The 18,111-nt window shown below is 44.1% G+C and overlaps 2 protein-coding genes, 1 long non-coding RNA gene and 1 other non-coding gene across 16 annotated transcripts in view, besides 5 other annotated features; 2 read left to right on the forward strand and 2 right to left on the reverse strand.

Annotated features, from left to right (window-relative positions):
* Positions 1–1,182: 1,182 nt before the first annotated feature.
* On the reverse strand, positions 1,183–16,396 carry ZBED3 (zinc finger BED-type containing 3). Of its 3 annotated transcripts, NM_032367.4 has the most exons (3): positions 16,222–16,396; positions 7,705–7,839; positions 1,183–7,006 (listed from the first exon to the last, which is right to left on the reverse strand). In NM_032367.4, the coding sequence occupies exon 3, from the start codon at positions 6,987–6,989 to the stop codon at positions 6,285–6,287; it is 705 nt and encodes a 234-aa protein (NP_115743.1). In that variant the 5' UTR covers positions 6,990–7,006; positions 7,705–7,839; positions 16,222–16,396; the 3' UTR covers positions 1,183–6,284. The 3 variants fall into 3 exon arrangements, 2 of the variants coding, with proteins under 2 accessions (NP_115743.1, NP_001316493.1); NM_001329564.2 differs by lacking the exon at positions 7,705–7,839; NR_138050.2 differs by lacking the exons at positions 1,183–7,006; positions 7,705–7,839 and adding an exon at positions 12,896–14,207.
* Positions 6,549–6,958: a silencer, noted in NCBI's record as "silent region_16108". NCBI's record gives its function as "represses an Ori minimal core promoter by ATAC-STARR-seq in GM12878 lymphoblastoid cells {active_cell/tissue: GM12878}" and the evidence as "EXISTENCE:reporter gene assay evidence [ECO:0000049][PMID:35858748]".
* On the reverse strand, positions 9,545–9,682 carry SNORA47 (small nucleolar RNA, H/ACA box 47). Its single transcript, NR_003014.2, has one exon. It is a non-coding gene; the product is annotated as a small nucleolar RNA, H/ACA box 47 (small nucleolar RNA).
* PDE8B (phosphodiesterase 8B) overlaps positions 15,826–18,111 on the forward strand; it is a 341,542-nt gene continuing 339,256 nt past the window's right edge. Inside the window, exons 1-2 of one of the 2 annotated variants that reach the window (NM_001414623.1) lie at positions 15,826–16,015; positions 16,598–16,730. The gene's annotated coding sequence lies outside the window, so the exon portion shown is untranslated. Of the gene's footprint in view, positions 16,731–18,111 lie in introns of both variants that reach the window. The other variant, NM_001414622.1, reaches the window with a different exon arrangement.
* Positions 15,826–18,111, forward strand: part of ZBED3-AS1 (ZBED3 antisense RNA 1) — a 62,587-nt gene continuing 60,301 nt past the window's right edge. For 4 of the 10 annotated variants that reach the window (NR_182763.1, NR_182765.1, NR_182764.1 and 1 more), the window contains exon 1: positions 15,826–16,730. This is a non-coding gene — a long non-coding RNA (ZBED3 antisense RNA 1). Of the gene's footprint in view, positions 16,731–17,169; positions 17,584–18,111 lie in introns of those variants that run through there. The other 6 variants (NR_024398.2, NR_182766.1, NR_182768.1 and 3 more) reach the window with 2 other exon arrangements.
* Positions 16,054–16,655: an enhancer, noted in NCBI's record as "H3K27ac hESC enhancer chr5:76382768-76383369 (GRCh37/hg19 assembly coordinates)". NCBI's record gives its function as "activates a minimal SCP1, AML or CMV promoter by ChIP-STARR-seq in naive H9 embryonic stem cells {active_cell/tissue: H9 hESC(naive)}" and the evidence as "EXISTENCE:reporter gene assay evidence [ECO:0000049][PMID:30033119]".
* Positions 16,068–16,237: a silencer, noted in NCBI's record as "silent region_16109". NCBI's record gives its function as "represses an Ori minimal core promoter by ATAC-STARR-seq in GM12878 lymphoblastoid cells {active_cell/tissue: GM12878}" and the evidence as "EXISTENCE:reporter gene assay evidence [ECO:0000049][PMID:35858748]".
* Positions 16,656–17,258: an enhancer, noted in NCBI's record as "H3K27ac-H3K4me1 hESC enhancer chr5:76383370-76383972 (GRCh37/hg19 assembly coordinates)". NCBI's record gives its function as "activates a minimal SCP1, AML or CMV promoter by ChIP-STARR-seq in naive H9 embryonic stem cells {active_cell/tissue: H9 hESC(naive)}" and the evidence as "EXISTENCE:reporter gene assay evidence [ECO:0000049][PMID:30033119]".
* Positions 17,259–17,859: an enhancer, noted in NCBI's record as "H3K4me1 hESC enhancer chr5:76383973-76384573 (GRCh37/hg19 assembly coordinates)". NCBI's record gives its function as "activates a minimal SCP1, AML or CMV promoter by ChIP-STARR-seq in primed H9 embryonic stem cells {active_cell/tissue: H9 hESC(primed)}" and the evidence as "EXISTENCE:reporter gene assay evidence [ECO:0000049][PMID:30033119]".

Below are 18,111 nucleotides of genomic sequence, written 5' to 3' on the forward strand. Positions count from 1 at the left end.
GCCTGCCCAGACATCTGGGTTCTATGGTTCTAAATCTGAACACTAAGTACAGTCATGTATCACTTAACGATGGGGATATGTTCTGAGAAATGCCTTGGTGGTTATTTCGTCACTGTACAAACATCGTAGAGGTACTCACACAAACCAAGATGGTACAGCCTACTGTACACCTAGGCTGTGTGGTATACTGATTGCTCCTAGGCTACAAACCTGTACAGCATTCTGTGGTCTGAATACTGTAGGCAATTCTAACACAGTTAAGTATTCGTATATCAAAACATACCTAAACATAGAAAAGGTACAGTAAAAATACAGTATGGTAATCTTACAGGACCACCATTGTATGTGTGGTATGTCATAGACTGAAATGTTATGTGGTGCGTGACTCTACCAAAAAAAAATGAAACTGCATTATGCAGTTCATAACTATACAAAAAAAGATGCAACAGGAATCAGGTCACTGGAAACTGGAAGTGATGGAAAACATGTAAATCAAAAAGTCTTTGGAGGGTGAAGAGCAAACAGATCAGAAAGTTAATGTGAATAGAGGCAAAGAATATCTGCCTGCTATGTAAGAATGTCTTTTTTTTTTTTTTTTTTTTTTTTTTTTTTTTTTTTTTTGAGACAAGGTCTTCCTCTGTTGCCCAGGCTAGAATGCAGTGGCATGGTCATAGCTCACTGCAGCCTCCACCTCCCAGGCTCAAGCAATCCTTCCACCTCAGCCTCCTGAATAGCTGGGATGACAAGAGTGTACTAGCACACCTAGCTAAAAATTTTAATTTTTTGTAGATACAGGGTCTCCCTCTGTTGCCTAGGCTGGTCTTCAACTCCTAGGCTCAAGCGATCCTCCCGCCTTGGCCCTTCCAGTGTGCTGGGATTACAGGCATGAACTACCATGCCCAGCCAAGAATGGCTTTTGGAAATTCTTCCTTTAAAAAACTCACTCTTCATCTATGTTAAAATTCTATGGTATTTCATTGCCCAGCATGTAGAATACAGGGAGAAGCTGGTGGAATATTATCAAATGTATTTAAACATGTGACAACGTTTTACTTAGCTTCCAATTACTAGTAGACTTCAGAGGGCAGAAGGTTGCCAGCTTATTCATCTGGTCATTACTTATCTTGACCAAAAGCCCACGAGAATATATACTGAAAGAATAAAGCTTTCATTACCATTTAATGTTTTTCCTTAAAGCCTCATTTTAATACTGTGAAACCAGATTTCAGAGAATGTCATAATTAAGATTTTTATAAAAAGAAACCTTTAATACTATTTAAACATATAATGACTCCCAGTGCTACCTGAATTCATTCACATCATAAACCAACTAAAATGGGCTTTAATCTGTATGGTGACCATGCTGCCTTTACTTAACCTTAATATACCACTATCAAGACCAATTTATGAGCCACACTAAAATAATTATCATTGTTTTATTATAATCTCACCTTATTAACCAGAAATGTTAATCTGGTTAATCATCTACCATATTCACCAGACTGAATAATTGGCAGTTCTTTTAAAAAATCAAATTTATCCTGGAAAGAGGAGTATTTGCCAACTCAAGGATGTTTTAAAGAATGTGCTAGGGACTCATGGCCACTCTAAAAGAGGAGTTCCAGAAATGTTGAAGCATTTTGGGAATAACTGTATAGTCTTCCAGGTCTTCTACTTTGAAGAGAGATGACTTAGATGGATAGATTTTTATATACCTTTGGGATTCCTCAGATTACTTTGTAGTCACAAGTCAGATTGAGTTTTGACTGGAGCAGGTCATTTGGCAACTATTTGATAGAAAAATATTTAATAGTATTTATCAGAAAGAGAATGTCTTGGCAGATCTCTGAGGCTTGTGTGTAGGTGTTCTCAGGAATCCTCCCAGGGAACCTGCTCTTGTGGGTTCCTTGGGAATGATTTCAGGTGAGCAGCAGGAGCCCTTAAGGCCAAAGAGACTGAAATGCATTAAGTAGGCTGGAGTCAGATGACGCGCCACAGTCACCATCTCCTGACAGTGGACAAGTCACTCTCTAGAACCTATTTTCCTAATCTATCAAATGATGGAGTTGGACTGAACAAGGGCTGCATTTCTTTCTGGGATTTTCTGGAAATGGGGATTATATCCATGCTTTCGTTGGAGATTTTATTTTAACTAAGGATGCTGAATGCTGAAGGAGAGGAATGTTGTCTACAAACAAAATTTTTTTATCATAAAAGTAATTCATACTTTGTGTAAAAAATTACAACAATGCAGAAGTGTATAAAGCAGAAAGTAAAAACCTCTTCCCTTAACTCAGCACTCAGGTTAATTGTTCTCTGTCTCCTGAACAGGACATTCAGGCTCGCACTAGCCATCTTTGAGGGAGTAGTTAAGATTCTAAATCCTTTCCTATGTTTTAATGGTTCTTACAATTGGTGAGATAGAAGAGTAACATTTGTGGAAGTCTTTTTTTTTCCTTCTAAAAAGGAAATTCAGATCATCTAGCCCAATTTATAAATCCATATGAAGAAGTTAAGTTCCAATACTTGAAAATAACTTAGAGTAATATAAAAATTGCAAAAGACAAAAGAAAATATATTAAAATGTTAATTAATAGCAGTTTTACAGAGGTGACAGGATTTTGGGGTGTTGTTTTTTTCTGTTCTTCTTCCTTGACTGAGGCAATACATTTTGTGTTACTTGTATAATAAAAAAGTAGATTTACATACCAGAATGGTTGATTGGCTTCAAACCAAACAGTCCAATAACTGACGCATTAAATCTTTATTGACTAAACAGCTTAAAAAATTACTACTATTTCCTTTTATTTGTTGTTGTGAATTTTACTCAGAATTAAAGATAAATGATTAGTAATTACAGGAAAACTAACTTGTAAAAATCTTAAAGACATTGAATGGGTTAATGTACTGAGCAGCTACGGAATGCAAGGCACTGTAGGAGTAGGGTGAGTATACTCCCCACAAGGGCTCAGGGTCAGGCAGGGGAGGTGAGATAAAAACCCACAGCCATACACTAGCTGGCCTGTCCTGAGGGTTGTGAGGCACAAAATGCTAGGAGACTAGAGAAGTAAGAAATGTCTTGACATGAGGAGAAATCAAGGAAAGCATGGTTTTAGAACATGTGTGGGATGTTTTTTGTATCGAGACTGAAGAGGCTTTTTAAAGTGGAGGGAAGGCAAACTGAGGCATAGAGATGCCAATACCAGGTCTTGTCAGGAAGAACAGAGTCCAATTTGGCTGCAGGATAGGGCATATGTAGGGGAGGGGATAAGACTGGCATGGGGGCAGAGGGGGACTTGAATGTCAGGTGACAGAGTCAAAGCTTGCACTCAAGTAGGTGATTGATAGGTGATCTTGGGGGCTTTTGAGCAGGAAGAGTGATAAATCAACATTGGCTTAGGACAATCCCTTTGGCTTTGGCGAAATTGTGACTCAGGTAAGGGACAGTTGGGGGAGACAAGGATGGGAAGATGCATGATAAATGGGCCCTGAGCTTGGCAGGCAACAGGAAGGCAGTGCAATGTTTTGTAGAAATAGACTTAGCAGAGCAGGCGCCCAGCATTCAGCGAGACCACAGATTCTTAGCCACTGTATGACTTGAAGGTGATACTAACTCCCCTGAACCTGTCTCATCTACAAAATGGGCATAGTAGCACCTATGTCATAGGGTTGCTTTATGGCAGGTAATTATTCTTGTAAAGCATTTAGCACAGCTCTGATGACACATGGGGAATGCTCAGTAAATATTAATGTCACTAATTCCAGTCAATTCCATTAACTGGAATTAATTAGTTGGAGTTAGGAAGGAAACAGGTGTCAGCTGGGTCGACTGAAGGAAGCAGAGATCTCAGGAAGCAGTACATGGTGGTACAGTGGGAGCATGGCATCTGTGGGGGAGACTGTCTGCAGTGGGATCCCACCTCTATTGCTGGCCAGCTGTGATCTTGTACAGGATACTTAACCCCTTTCTAGCTCAGTTTCTTTAGCTGTAAAGCCAGCGCAATGTTACCATGGAGCTGGTATGTGAAAGCAATGCATGTTAAGTGTGTAGTATGTGCCTGATACATTGTTAGTGCCCAGTAAATGTTAGTTATCAGGTGAGGGGTGGGATGTGGGGTTGAGTAGATTTGCCTCGTCCACTCATAGAGGCAGGATGTGCAAGGAGGGGTGGAGACATGCAGCAAGGGATTGGGCATGAAGGTTTTCTCCAGGCCCGGGGAGAACACTCGGCCTGGAGATATTCAGGAGTCCCTGGCCCAGAGGAGATTACAACTCTGCAGGGATATGAGCCACGAGTGGAGTGTAGACATAGGCCTAAGGAAGCAATCAGACACTTCCAGAATAGAGGACATTTGCTAAGACAGCTGGCCTGGATGCTTCAAAAAGTATCATGGGAAAATATGTTGGGGTTGTTGTAGACTGAAAGTGACTAGAGTTGAAACCAAAAGAATGTATGAACCTTGATGGGACCTGGTTGTTGTCGTTGTTTTTAAAGACAAACATTCTGGAGACAATTGTTGAATACTGATTAAGGGCTCTGTATTAGAGGCTATAAAGAAGTTACTGTTTATATTTTTAGGCATGATCATCTTAATGTAATCATGTAGAACGGTGTCTTTGTGCTCAGGAAATCTATGTGGTAATACTCAGGGGTCGAAATGTCATTCTATGTACACATGCATGGGGTGGAGAGAATAGTAAATCTGGCAAAATGTTAACAACTATTCAATCCAAGTGGAGAGTATGTATCTGAGTATTCATTGTGCTAGCCTTTCAACTTTTTCTGGATGTGTGGAATTTTTCAATATAAAAAAATAAGAAAAAAAAGAGGCCTATGGAAAAACTGGGAACCAGTATGCAACAGGAAAAGGAATTCTTTGAAGGAAAAACAGGATCCACCTACCAAGAGAGCAATTTCAAGGGAGAGATTAAGCAAAATGAAGGCTGCAAATAGATCATCATATTTGGTCACTGGGAGATTGTGGCAGCTTGGAAATAGTCTGGTGAAGCATAGAAAACTGACATGCACCCTAGAACTTAAAGTATTATATATACATATATATATATATATATATATGTATATGTATATATGTATATATATATGTATATATGTATATATATATGTATATATGTATATATATATGTATATATGTATATATATATATAATATATACACACATAAAGAAAAAAAGAAAAGAAAACTGACCCAGAGTGAGGGAGTAAAAACTGGGGAGGAAGGATAGGCAGCCAGGACTTGTTGGCCCTTCTGGGTTAAGTCTTTCTTTTCAGTAAGAAAGGGAGACTGCACATTGCTGAGGAAGAAGAGCCTGGGGGAAAGGGAGGGACTGAGACAGCGAAAGGGGGAATACTACAGGAGGAAAGACCCAGTAAACGTGGGAGAGGAATGGGATGGAAAATGACAGGTAGATGTGGCCTTAAGCGGAGGGATGCTTTCCCCTTCAGCCCAGAGGTGAGCACTATGACGACATGTGGGGAAGAAGCCCTCTTCCTAGTGACAAGGGGATGAGGTGATGTCTTGCTAAGGTGGCAGATGTGAGGCCTGAAAGTGGACATATGTGCCACACTTGTCATTAGGTCTGAAGCAAGGGAAGGATGGCCGAGGGGAGACAGAGTGCACCTGGTATTGGTTGAATAATATGGGCAGTAAAAAAGCGGGCTCTGGGACTGCCCCGATGAGGGCTAGAGATGATGCGGGTCTACAGCAGTCATGGAAACTAGAGGGGACGTCCCTCACCCACCCTTCAGAACTTGGTGTTGGGCAGATTATGCATTAGGAACTCTTTTTTTTTTTTTTTTGGGTAAAAAGCTTTCTCATTTCCACGCACCCTCCACCTTGGGCTGCTGGGTGTATAGGCACATGGTGTGATAAGTCTTTGGTATGGAATGAAGCTCTATCCTTTCAAAGTCACCAGGTTCGGGTTCCCAGCCCTAAGTGGCCATGGCACTGGGTGGTCTGGGTTCACGGGGCTCCTGGAGCTCTCGGGTGTCCCGTGTGCCACCCCAATTCCTTGCGTGCATGCCCACGAAAGGCCGCCCAGGCACCCCCGGTGACCCCATGGAAGTGAGTTTTGGTTCTGCTCTGGCTTCGAAGTGCTTCTCAAGCTGAAGCCTTAGGGTGTGGAAGATCCTACAGTTAGCTGGAGCTTCCGAGTGAGTAGCGGCTGCGGGCCTGGCTTCGGTTACGGCTTCGGTCCCAGCGGGGTCTGAAGGCATTGGCATTGGACGGAGAAGCGCTGTCCTGGGGTGGGGAAGTGGCCACACCCCTACAGGAGGACCTTTGTGATGACGCAGCCGTCCCTGTCACCCTCGGGGTCGTCCTTGAGCGGCGGCGGCGCAGCGGGGGCCCAGCCCAGGGCGCCCTCACGGCGGCTCACATCCCGCAGCCGCGCCTGCAGCGCCTCCCGCTCGGCCTGCAGTTCCCGGCGCGCCTGGGCCGCGGCGCGCTCTTCCTCCTGCAGCGCCCTCCGCCTCCGCTCCAGGGCGCGCTCGCCCTGCTCCACGGCCAGCTCGCGCCGCTCCAGCTCCCGCTCCCGCCGGCTGCCGCGCACGGCCAGCGCGCCCATCTGTTCCAGCAGGCGCGCCCAGTCGCCCTCGGGGGCCGCAGCGGGGCCGGGCGGCGGCGGGCAGGGCGCGGCAGGTGGGGAGCTCCCGGCGCCGCTGCTCTCCAGCTCCCGCCGGTGCGCGCTCCTCAGGTGCCTCCACAACGCCGAGGTCCCCGCGTGGAAGCCCGGGCCGCGGCCCACCTGCTCCCCGCACAGACGGCAGGTGGCCCAGTGGCCCGACGGATGCCCGGGGCGCCCCGGCGCCAGGTGGAAGTAGCCCCAGGCCTCGGAGTATGGCGCCCCCAGGCGGCCGGGAGGCGTCGGCGTCGGCGCCGGCCCCAGTCCCGGACACTGACCGCCCCGCGCCGCCGCGTCGTCCAGCCCGCGGGCCTGGTCCATGGTGCAGGCCGGCTCGCCACTCCTCATTCTGCGGCGCCCGCACGCTGGGGAGCAGGGGAAGAATAATAATGAGTGTTAGGATCACGCACACAGCTCCTAGACTACAGTTAGCCTAAGAAACCATGCCGCCCTCCATTTTCTTACCGATGAAAAGCCTATAGTGTGTGTAGATAGTCTAAGTTTCTTTCTAATTAATCTTCAGTATTAAGTGTTGATTCCTCAGAAAAAACTGTTAAAAATATCTAGCCCTTCCTATACTAGGAATCCTCTTTGAAATCAAGTGGGTCCCCAGTCAACAAGTATTTATTCTAATAGCGGGAGGCTAAGCTGCTTGAACAGAAAGAACTAGCTAACTCCGTGCTGTGTCTGTATTAGCTTTAACTAGTCTCTGCTTTCTTAATAACAACAACGACAACAATAAAAAAGGTACTGTCTTCAGAATAACAGCTAGGCTCCCTTATGCAGTCTTCTCTGGGTGCTGCACAGCACACTTGAGCAATGACCAGAAAAGACAGCTTTGGGAATGAAAATTTTGTTTCTTAAACTTCAGGAGTGGAAGAGCCAGTGGTGAACAGCCTTTTAAAAAGCTTTCAAAGACTGTATGTTTTTCAAGATAAAAATATGTTTTTGTGATTATAAAAACAATCTACTTATGAGAAAATCGGCAGTACTGAAAGCAATGCTTTTAAGATATGCACATTTAGGAAATAGCAATATCCAAAGCAGCATTCTAAATTTTTACCTTTAAATTAGACAGTGGGTAATTTCCCAAGGATTCTGGGGTCCCTGTCATTGCCTCAGGGTTTCCAACCATCTCAGGTGGGTAGAAACAATGCATGCAACACGATTCCTGAGTTCTGAAGAACCATCAGCAGTGCTAGGAGTAAATTCAGAGGACAGGCAGGCCAGTGAAAGAAATGCATTCAAACCACCTTAAAGACAGATACTAGAAATACTGAGCAGCGCCATGCCCTGGTTCACTTTTTCTAACCCTTTCATAGATACCCAAGGCATAAAACAAATAAAATTAGTTTTCTTTATTGTTTGTGCTAACTAAAAGATCCCCTCTACATATTTGCAAGATACAAAGTTTGCTCAATACTTTTAATTAAGGAAGAAAAAGAAATAAAATAACGTCTTGCTTTGTTCAACACAAAATCTGTTAAAAGGATCCAAACATAATGCAATGTCATTGCACAGTCTTTTTTATTAGGAAACTAATTCACTACTGCAATAACCTATTAAAGAAAAGGGAATACAGAAAAAGGTGAAGTTTATTAGTTAGGAAATAAGTTCACAAAGGACCAAATGTGTGATTCTAGATAAATTTGCTTTGAAAGTTGAAAAACAATGAGAAGAAAACACATGACAGACTTCTTGAGCTCTTCTGAGAACTTAGGGAGAAAATCAAGGGCAAGGTGAGACCCAGGCACAGTGAGATCAATGCTGCTCATACTGTCAGATTTTGAACCAGCAGCCATGGAGATGACAAAGTTCCAGAATCTTTCTTGTTAAACACAACTGGGAAAAACTGAAGACAAAGATGAGAATAGGAAAAATAAGCTGCTATAGTTACAGTAGCATTTAGTGTAAACTATGAATTCAGTTGCTAATAGTCTTGTTGCAGATGCACTGTACTTTTCTAAACCTAAGTATTCTTTTTCCCACCAAGCAAGTCCACTCCGGATCAGGTATGACATTTAACATATCATTTTTTTAAAAAGATAACAAATATACCAGAATCATCAAAAAAGACAAGTACCATGCGTCTTCTAACAAAGAAATGGCTATTTACATGTCTTCTGATACACAGGCATTGATTTAAATATGGTCACTCATGATAAAGACCAATTAGCATAGAAAATCTTTAGAAATTAAAGGCTACATTTTCCCCCAAGAGATGTATTACATTGCTAAAGTCTCAAAAGTGGGGGAAAGTAGGATGAGGAGTTACAGACCACCTTCAAGAATAGTGTTTTTATGGCCAGTAAATATTATGGTTATATAACATTATGGTTGCTAAACAGAGTAAGATTTAAGTGTTATAAACATTTTTAATTATCTAACTTTACCTAAAATTTTTCCTATACTTTTTTCTTTTTTAAAATTTCTATTTCCTTCTATATTGAATCTGATCTTTCCTGAGGTCCTTTTTTATTACTGGACAAACACAAAAGTGCAGAGACTATTATAATGAATCTTTACGACTAATTTACTTTATAAATTAAAAGGGATGTAAACGTTTCCTATAACATCAAGAGTATTGCTTTGCATTCTGATATGCTTTCTTGAGCCAAAGCTTGGAAACTGCACATAAACCCGCAGATTCTCTTACTTGTGCCAAAGTCTGAGAGTCATCCTTACTGATGTGCCCCTGATAGTGCCAGAGGTGACTGATTACTGTCATGCTTTTTACCTCTCTGGGTTTCCTTAAAAACTGGAATGCCCAGAGGGAGTGTCGCACAGGTGAATGCCATCTGTTAGGAGTTAAAGTGGGCACAAGGATGAGAAGCACTGACTTCGATGTCTTAATCCTTTTGACCTAGTGGAAGCCTCACCTGAGCCAGGGACAGGCTGCATCACAAATGTCGGCCAGCACAGCGCTGCCCCTCCAAGGGTGGCAAGGGGACATCCTCTGCCTGGGCAGCCCTTCGATTTTGGAGGTCTTAACCGGTGGAAGGCAGCACGGGGCAAAACTGCCTCACCTTCTCAGTCCTCCACATCATGCGGCTATATTCTAGCTCAATACAATCCTCAGTCTCAGTATCTGCTGAGTGACCAGCAGTCTATGGCCACAGGCCGTAACAGCCTGGTTAGCTGAGCAAACTATCACAAGGACAGAAAACCAAACACCGCATGTTCTCATTCATAGGTGGGAATTGAGCAATGAGAACACGTGGACACAGGGTGGGGAACATCACACACAGGGGCCTGTCGTGGGGTGGCGTGGGAGGGATAGCATTAGGAGATATACCTAATGTAAATGACGAGTTAACGGGTGCAGCACACCAACATGGCACATGTATACATATGTAACAAACCTGCACGTTGTGCACATGTACCCTAGAACTTAAAGTATAAACAAAAAACAAAAAACTCGAGTGCATTTCAGCTGCCCCTGCAATGTGGAGGGGGAGAAACCTCTTCAGACACTTCAGCCACAACCGTAACACACAAAGAGCTCTTCAAACACAATAAAAAGACAAAAAGACCGACAGAAAAACAGACGAGAAATATGAGTAGGCAAATGACCTAACAGCTCCACTGGCCAGGAAATTTATGAAAAGGTGCACAACATCACTTATATTCAGGGAAATGCTATTAAAGTAGCAATAAGGTATCGTTTTACATCCATCACACCAAGAAACATTAAGAGGTCTAACAGCCAAAGTTACAAGGGAGGTAGAGAAAAGGCACACTCCTCAATTACTAGTGAAGATGGGATGGATTTTAGGAAAGCATTCTGGCCATTTCTTTTCTTTCTTTCTTTTTTTTTTTTTTTTAATTTTTTTTAAGACAGGGTCTTGCTCTGTCACCCAGGCTGGAGTGCAGTGGCACAATCATGGCTCACTGCAACCTCTGCTTCCCAGGCTCAAGAAGTGATCCTCCCACCTCAGCCTCCAAAGTAGCTGGGACTACAGGTGCATGCCACCATGCTTGGCTAATTTTTGTATTTTTTGTAGAGACAGGGTCTCTGTTGCCCAGGCTGGTCTTCCTTGAACACCTGGGCTCAAGTGATACACCTGCCTCGGCCTCCCAAAGTGCTGGGATTACAGTCGTGAGCATACCCAATGAGAATGCATGTCATTAATTCTGTGGTTAGCTAATAAGAAGAAAATGAAAAGTAAGAGATCCCTCAATTTTTCCTTGAACATTTTTTAAAACTAACACAAAGGTGCCAATGAATTTGAGTATTTTGCTTACATCCATCCACTCCATCCAACTCTCATTCAAATGCTCATTGTGCACCTGCTAAGGTCAGGTGCGTGCTTTCTGCCAAGCATTCCAAGAGGAATGTCACATAGTCTCTGCCCTCAGGAAGCGTACCATCTGGTGGGGAAAGAGATGCTTCCAACAATTCTGATACCTGTGTGATAGGGCCAGCTGCAATTTCTATATTAATTAAAAATAGAGGCTGGGCTCGGTGGCTCACGCCTGTAATCCCAACACTTTGGGAGTTCCAAGCAGGTGGATCACCTGAGGTCAGGAGTTCGAGACCAGCTTGGCCAACATGGTGAAACCCTGTCTCTACTAAAAATACAAAAATTAGCTGGGCATGGTGGCGGGTGCCTATAATCCCAGCTACTTGGGAGGCTGAGGCAGGAGAATGGCTTGATCCTGGGAGGTGGAGATTGCAGTGAGCCGAGATAGCACCATTGCATTCCAGCCTGGGTGACAACAGCGAAATGCTGTATTGAAAAAAAAAAAAAAAAGATAACCTGAGATTCTACTCCTGGGGATCTCTTCTATAGAACTATCAGCACCAATAAACACAGTCTTGTATCAGGATGTTCACGTAGAATGACATCAGAATCTACATCAGAATCATGTAGAATGACAAGAAACTGGAAGCAAGGGAATGCCTACCACCAGGAAAATGGCTGAGTATATAACATATGTTCATACCAGGGAATATTATACAGCCATTAAAGAGGAAAAGGATGAAGTTCTGTTCAATGTCTTACAAGGATATCTGGAGGAACTGTTCAGGGAGAAAAGAGAGATGCAGAAGAGTGTATAATATGATCCCACTATTATTAAGTAATATACATATCTGTAGAGGCAATATATAGCTATAGATGAAGAAAAATAAGGAGATACTATGGTTGAGGCAATGGTAACTGATGTGAAAGGAGGGAGAAGGGGAAGAGGTAAACACAAAAGTAAAAGCAATGAGGTACTAAGAAAGCATGCATGTGATCACGTGTATACATTTAGGGAAAGTGTGTATATCACAGGATCTCTACATAAATAAAAAATAATTTTATAAAACAACCCTTGGGCCTGGGTGTGGTGGCTCACACCTGTAATCCCAGCCCTTTGGGAGGCCAAGGCAGGTAGATCACCTGAGGTCAGGAGTTCAAGACCAGCCTGGCCAACATGGTGAAACCCCGTCTCTACTAAAAATACAAAAAATTAGCTAGGCGTGGTGGTGGGTGCCTGTAGTCCCAGCTACTCGGGAGGCTGAGGCAGGAGAATCGCTTGAACCTGGGAGGCGGAGGTTGCAGTGAGCCGAGATTGCACGATTGTACTCCAGCCTGGGTAGTAAGAGCGAAACTCCATCTCAGAAAAACAAAAAACAAAAACAAAAAAGCAAAACAACCCTTGGCTCCTCAAGCATGTGAGCTCAGGCAGGGCCAGCCCAGCCTTAACTGTGGAGGCTGGTGGGACAGTCCCATGGGGAAGCCCACTGCTGCGCCGCTTGGAGGAGGAAACCCAGCATGTGAGGCTGCTCATTGTCACGTGGTTTGCTGTGCTCTGCAGAAGGAGATTCTGTGTTCACACCCAGGATGTCATGGAAGAGGAGCTCATCCCATTCATCTCCCTGGCACAGGGTAGACACTTGGGGGATGCTGCATTAAGTGAAGTGAACCTGACTCTGTTTCTTTAGCCCCAGCCCACCCGAGTCTCAATCTTCCCATCTGTCAAGAGAAATAATAAGATTATTTGCCTCTAAACAGGTGGCTGAGATCATAGATAGTGCAAATGATGTCACTGTTGGACTCTCCGGTGTTATATAAATTTAAGACATGAACAATAAAGAAACTACCGATATTTACTGCTCAGACATGCCCACGTTAAGATTTTAATGGCTAAAAGGCAGTTGTTTTTCCATCTGACATTATGTTATTCAACAGAGTAAGTAGTCTAAGTTGGAGGAATCCCCTTGGGAATTGACTACAAAGAGCAAATAAAAAAGAGTAACAGATCCAAGACCCTTACCCCTTAAATTTATTTTCACTTCCTAAATTGAACTTCATGCAAAATAGGTTATTTATCACTAGGGTAAAATAAGATAATGGGGAGGTTTAATTAGCCAAAGCCCTGTGATAACGCGTTTCTTCCTTACCAAATACCCAATGAGAATGCATATCATTAATTCTGTGGTTAGCTAATAAGAAAATGAAAAAAGCTCCCTTAATTTTTCCTTGAAAAAATTTTTAAACTAACACAAAGATGCCAATGAATGAGTATTTTGCTTACATCCATTCACTCCATCCAACTCTCATTCAAATGCTCATTGTGCACCTGCTAAGGTCAGGTGCGTGCTTTCTGCCAAGCATTCCAAGAGGAACGTCACATAGTCTTTGCCCTCAGGAAGCGTACGGTCTGGTTGGGAAAGAGATGCTTCCAACAATAATTCTGATACCTGTGTGATATGGTTTGGCTGTGTCCCCACCCAAATCTCATCCTGAATCCTACTCCCATAATTCCCACGTGTTGTGGGATGGAACTGGTGAGAGATAATTGAATCACGAGCGCGGTTTCTCCCATACTGTTCTTGTGCTAGTGAATAAATCTCACGAGATCTGATGGTTTTATAAACGAGAAGCCCTTTTCGCTTGACCCTCATTATAGCTCATGCCGCAGCCAGGTAAGAAGTGCCTTTCGCCTTCCGCCTTCCGCCATGACTGTTAGGCCTCCCTAGCCACGTGGAACTTTAAGTCCATTAAACGTCTTTCTTTTATAAATTGCCCAGTCTTGGGTATGTCTTTATCAGCAGCGCGAAAACAGATTACTAACACACTGTGGTAAAGGTGAAATCAGTGCTCACTCCTTCGGGTGAATTCCGTCACATAATCTCCACTGGGGAAGGGGTGGGCATGGGCAGCTCCTGGGAGCTGATGTCTTAGGGGCCCTAACACAAAAGTTCATGCAGTTCAGCATCCCTTCCCCTCCCATGCCCCACAGGGCACAAACGCATTGTTGTCCATCACCAAAACACATTACCCTTAGTACTCGACTCTAATGAAGTTCCAGTTCCTCAGTTGTATAACGAGGCTTCCAAGCTCCTATTTTAAAAGAAAGTTTCTTGAAGCTAAATAAAAGCACTGCTAACATGAAATTAACAGTGGAAATTTTTGAGTGTAATTTCAGGGTGAAAAAAACTGAAAAGACAAATGTAGATTTTAGATATTTCAAGGAAGGAGAGAGAGTAGTGTTGCTGGTACCATGCCTCTGCACTTGCTATAGCTGAGTTTCATTTGAGTATCCATTATTTGGAAGGAGTTCTTAAATCTAAGCCTGTGGAAGACAATAAATTCACATTAATTATCTCTCCATTTGACTCAATTTCTGAAGAAGTTCTATCCTTCTGATGAACTATCAGATTAAATCCCAGATTCCTCAGTATGATGTCCCTGAATACCAATATAAAGAATAAAGGAAGAGATCAAAACCTGGATGAATAATCTGTATAAACATGGGCATATACACAAGGTATGACTATAATATTGAGACTCATCCTATAAAGCACCTACAAAAGTTGATTGTATTATTTTATACTTATGCTTGTGCACATAAAAAATATTTGGCAGGCTAAAGGCCAAAGAACCAGGCACTGTTCTCAAAAGGACATAGCAGATTAACTACACCTCTATTTGTCCTTCTATACTCAAGGCTACTTACTGTAGTTGGGTTGACCAGGCAGAGTTTAAATCAATATATGTTGGTTGAGCCTGGATCTTAGATGAGAAATTCACACTAACGTGAAATTCACACAGACATATGTGGAAACACTAAAAACATTTTCTTTTACTTCATCCACCAGTGACTTTAATGAAAGCAGAGCATAATAATTAATACAAGTAATTAGAGTTGACAACTGAAGTGTCAAGAAAACCACAGTTCATCTGTTATCCGTCCATCTCTGTTGAAATATTAGTTTACTGCCATATATTAATCTATTTATAAAGAGATCCAGACAATTAGAAAAATTAGTCTGGAATCACCAGGCTGAAGGCTTAGCTGAAGTTAAAAGACAAGTAAAAATGCCTCCAAACTGTAAAACCTGAGTTGGGGAATAAATGGTAAAATGTGTAAAAATTTAGAAAAAGGTTATATGTGGACTGTAAAAAATACACTGGACTCACAGGTAATTAAGGGGTGAATCAGAGTTGTTTCCTAAATGGCATAAGCCAAACTCTTAGATATTTCTACCATTAGCTAAAAGGCAGAGAAGCACTCTCTCTCTCTATTAATGCACTTTTAAAAATGAAAATTGTGAAGTGTTCTGCCCTTAAAGTGGACCTTTATTTCAGGTCTGCATTACTTTGCTTAATAGATATGGTCCTAAAGATTAAGGTGGTGATCCATTTTATCTTGTAAAAATGCATAATTTAATCTGAGTTATAGGAATTTAAAGCTGCCCTACTTTGAAGGCCTTTGTGACTCAAAGATTTTTTTAATTTAATTTTTAAATTGAGAATTACCTGGCTTGGGCTTTTGGTCTTTTTATAATACGTATTGCTGTCTACTTTTTTTTTTATTCTTGGCTGCCTCAAGCTATTCTTGCCTCCAAAAGGTGTCAGCATATGAATAAAAACAGCAGAAAATAATTACCCTAATTAGGTCAATGTATTAAGCTGTTTCTACAACTGTTTCTCTTAAACACCTTATCTTTGTAGTCTTGGCTCATTAGAAATTCGACTAGTGGTAAGTATTTATTTTTTTCCTTCAAGGGGGTTTTTGCTTTGCTAAGCCTCGGGCATTTGGTTCGTGCAAGAAATCACAGAAACTGCTCCAGCGGACTCCGAAAGGAGCGGAAAATTCTTTTGTTTGGGGGCCATGAGGGGTGGGGGAGGGGTGGGGATTCTGGTGTAAGCTTTTGGCTTGCATTCGCTTTCTCCCTCCGAAAGTGGGCGACATCAAGCAAGTCCCAGTTACAGAAAGAACCCACTGCAGGGCGTCCAGTCACTTGCCCAGTGAAAAGACTGTAATCAGACAACTTTAATAAAGGGAGAGCAGGAGAGTGGTGACGAATTTCCACATTCCGAACAAGCTTGTCGAAAGAGGAGTGCAGGGAAGGAGCAAGAATGAGGCACTGGAAGACGGTGAGCGGGGCCTTGCCACAGAATCCCGGGCCCACCTGCTTTCTCACAGTCGCGACAGCCGGCCCGGAGAAGGGCAGCCCAGCGAAGGGCACGCCCCGCGCGGGTGCCAGGGAGGCCGGCAGGGGCGTCCGCGGTCGCTGCTCACCTGCGCTCCCCGCTGCCCGGCCCAGCCCGCCTCGCCACCGAGTCTGGAAGCCCACACTCACCCCTTTACCCGGGAAACGCGGCCGGAGCCGGCGGCGGGTCGGGAGTCCGAGATGGTAGATCCCCCTCCAGGCGCCTCGCTGACATTTTGTCCCGGACGGAAAACCTCCGCGCGTGCCCCTTAAAGACACAGCGCTGCATTCACACGTCTGCGGGGAAAGGGGGGCCGTCACGTGTGGCCTTCGCCCGAAAGCGGTAGGGGAGTCGCTCTGAAACCGCCAAGGATCGCGAGCGACAGATTTGTGTTGGCCAGGGTTTTAAGATGACGCAATAGCTGAGTGTGGTTGAAATGTAACTATTGTTTTACAACTTTGCATTAACCTTCCAAGACCTGAATTCCCGGGCCTGAGTCTCAGAGCGCGGTTTGCATCTTTGCAGGCTGTAGGCGCATGATGTCACAAGTTATTGGAAGAAATCCCTCCAACCTAGGTTGGGACAGATGAAGGCGGCGCTTATTGGTGTTCACCAAAACACCAGCATGGTGTACCAGCTTTGGCTAGATGATGCTCAGGTAACGAACAACCCCTGCAACTCAGTGGCTTAAAGGTCCATTTCTCAAGCGAATTACTGTGGCTGCAGGGAGCTTTGGCAGTACTCCACCAGTTTTCTTCACTCCAGGCTGAAAGGTCAACTTTTCTGGGCCATGCTCCCTGCTGGGCTGGTAAACCAACTTTGAGGGAGAAGGGGGAAGTCCAGATATGTAGTGTTTGCTATTTCTATGATGTAAATGCTCCCACAATGGCCGATTTCAAGCTACAAACAGTCCAACAAGTGGCTTGCCAAGTTCCTGGAAATTTAACAATTAGCTCCTGTACATGACTGGCACAAGCTGCTTTCCAAACTCACATTCCGCATGCCTCAGTTCTGCTCACTTTCTATTGGTCAAAACTTGCTGTCAGTGGGTGGGGAAGTGTACCCCTCTCTTAAGGAAGCCTTGCAAGTCTTGTGACAATGAAACAGGAGAGTTCCCTGATTTCCTCCCGGCCCCCGCCCTCCCACAGCCCTTTGCAGGACGTGCAACAGGGTTGTGGCTCGTGTGTTCGGTCTCTGCCTGCTGAAACCCCTTATGGGAGGTGGAGCATGCAGACGGACGGGTGCAGGAGCCAGGGTGCAAAAGCTGGGGCGCTGGGCTTCCAGCCCCACGGCAGTGTCCAGGGGCAGGATCCCGTGATTCCCGGAGCCCAAATGGGCGTGTGTTACAGTGTGCTCTTTTAGCCTTACCATCAGCTGACGGCTTAAGTGTTAACCAGCTCAATAGACCCTCTGCCTTTTTGCAAGCGCAGAGGGTCAGTGTGACAGTTTCTGTATCTCAGCTCTTGTCTCACCTCCCAGAAGAATCAGGTCACACATGGACTTGAAGGATGGTGAGTGCCGGGGTGGGGGCGGGGGTAGAGGAGTTGGGGGAAGGTTGGGGGTGTTTATTAGGTGGTAGGGGTGGCACTCAGTAGGATGGATGGGGAGCTGGAAAGGGGGTGGAGTAGGGAGATGATCTTCCCCTGGAGTTTAACCGTCCAGCGGTGGATTCTCTAACTGTCCCCAGCTGAACTCCACCCAATATTCCTTCTCTTTTCTCTTTATCTGCGGCTCTTCTGCTCTTCTGCTCTTCTGTTCATCTGCTCATCTTTTGCTGCTGGAGCCTGGTGTCTGGAGTTTATACGGGTACAGGATAGGGGGTCATGGAGGGCCAAAAGGTAACTTTTGGGCACAAGAACGGGAATGCCTCTCTTCATTTAGGGCCATGGGTTTCCAGGCTTGAGGGTGGGGCCTTTGCCAGGGAACGGCCTTATTCTACCCAGTAGTTCCCTGTCTACTGTCCCTATCAACAATAAGTGAGCTGAATAATATCCTTAAAAGAAGAACAAGAAATAACTGGGTACAATAATACAATCCAC

Source organism: Homo sapiens, chromosome 5, assembly GCF_000001405.40.
Source record: "Homo sapiens chromosome 5, GRCh38.p14 Primary Assembly".
Taxonomy (NCBI): Eukaryota; Metazoa; Chordata; class Mammalia; order Primates; family Hominidae; genus Homo; species Homo sapiens.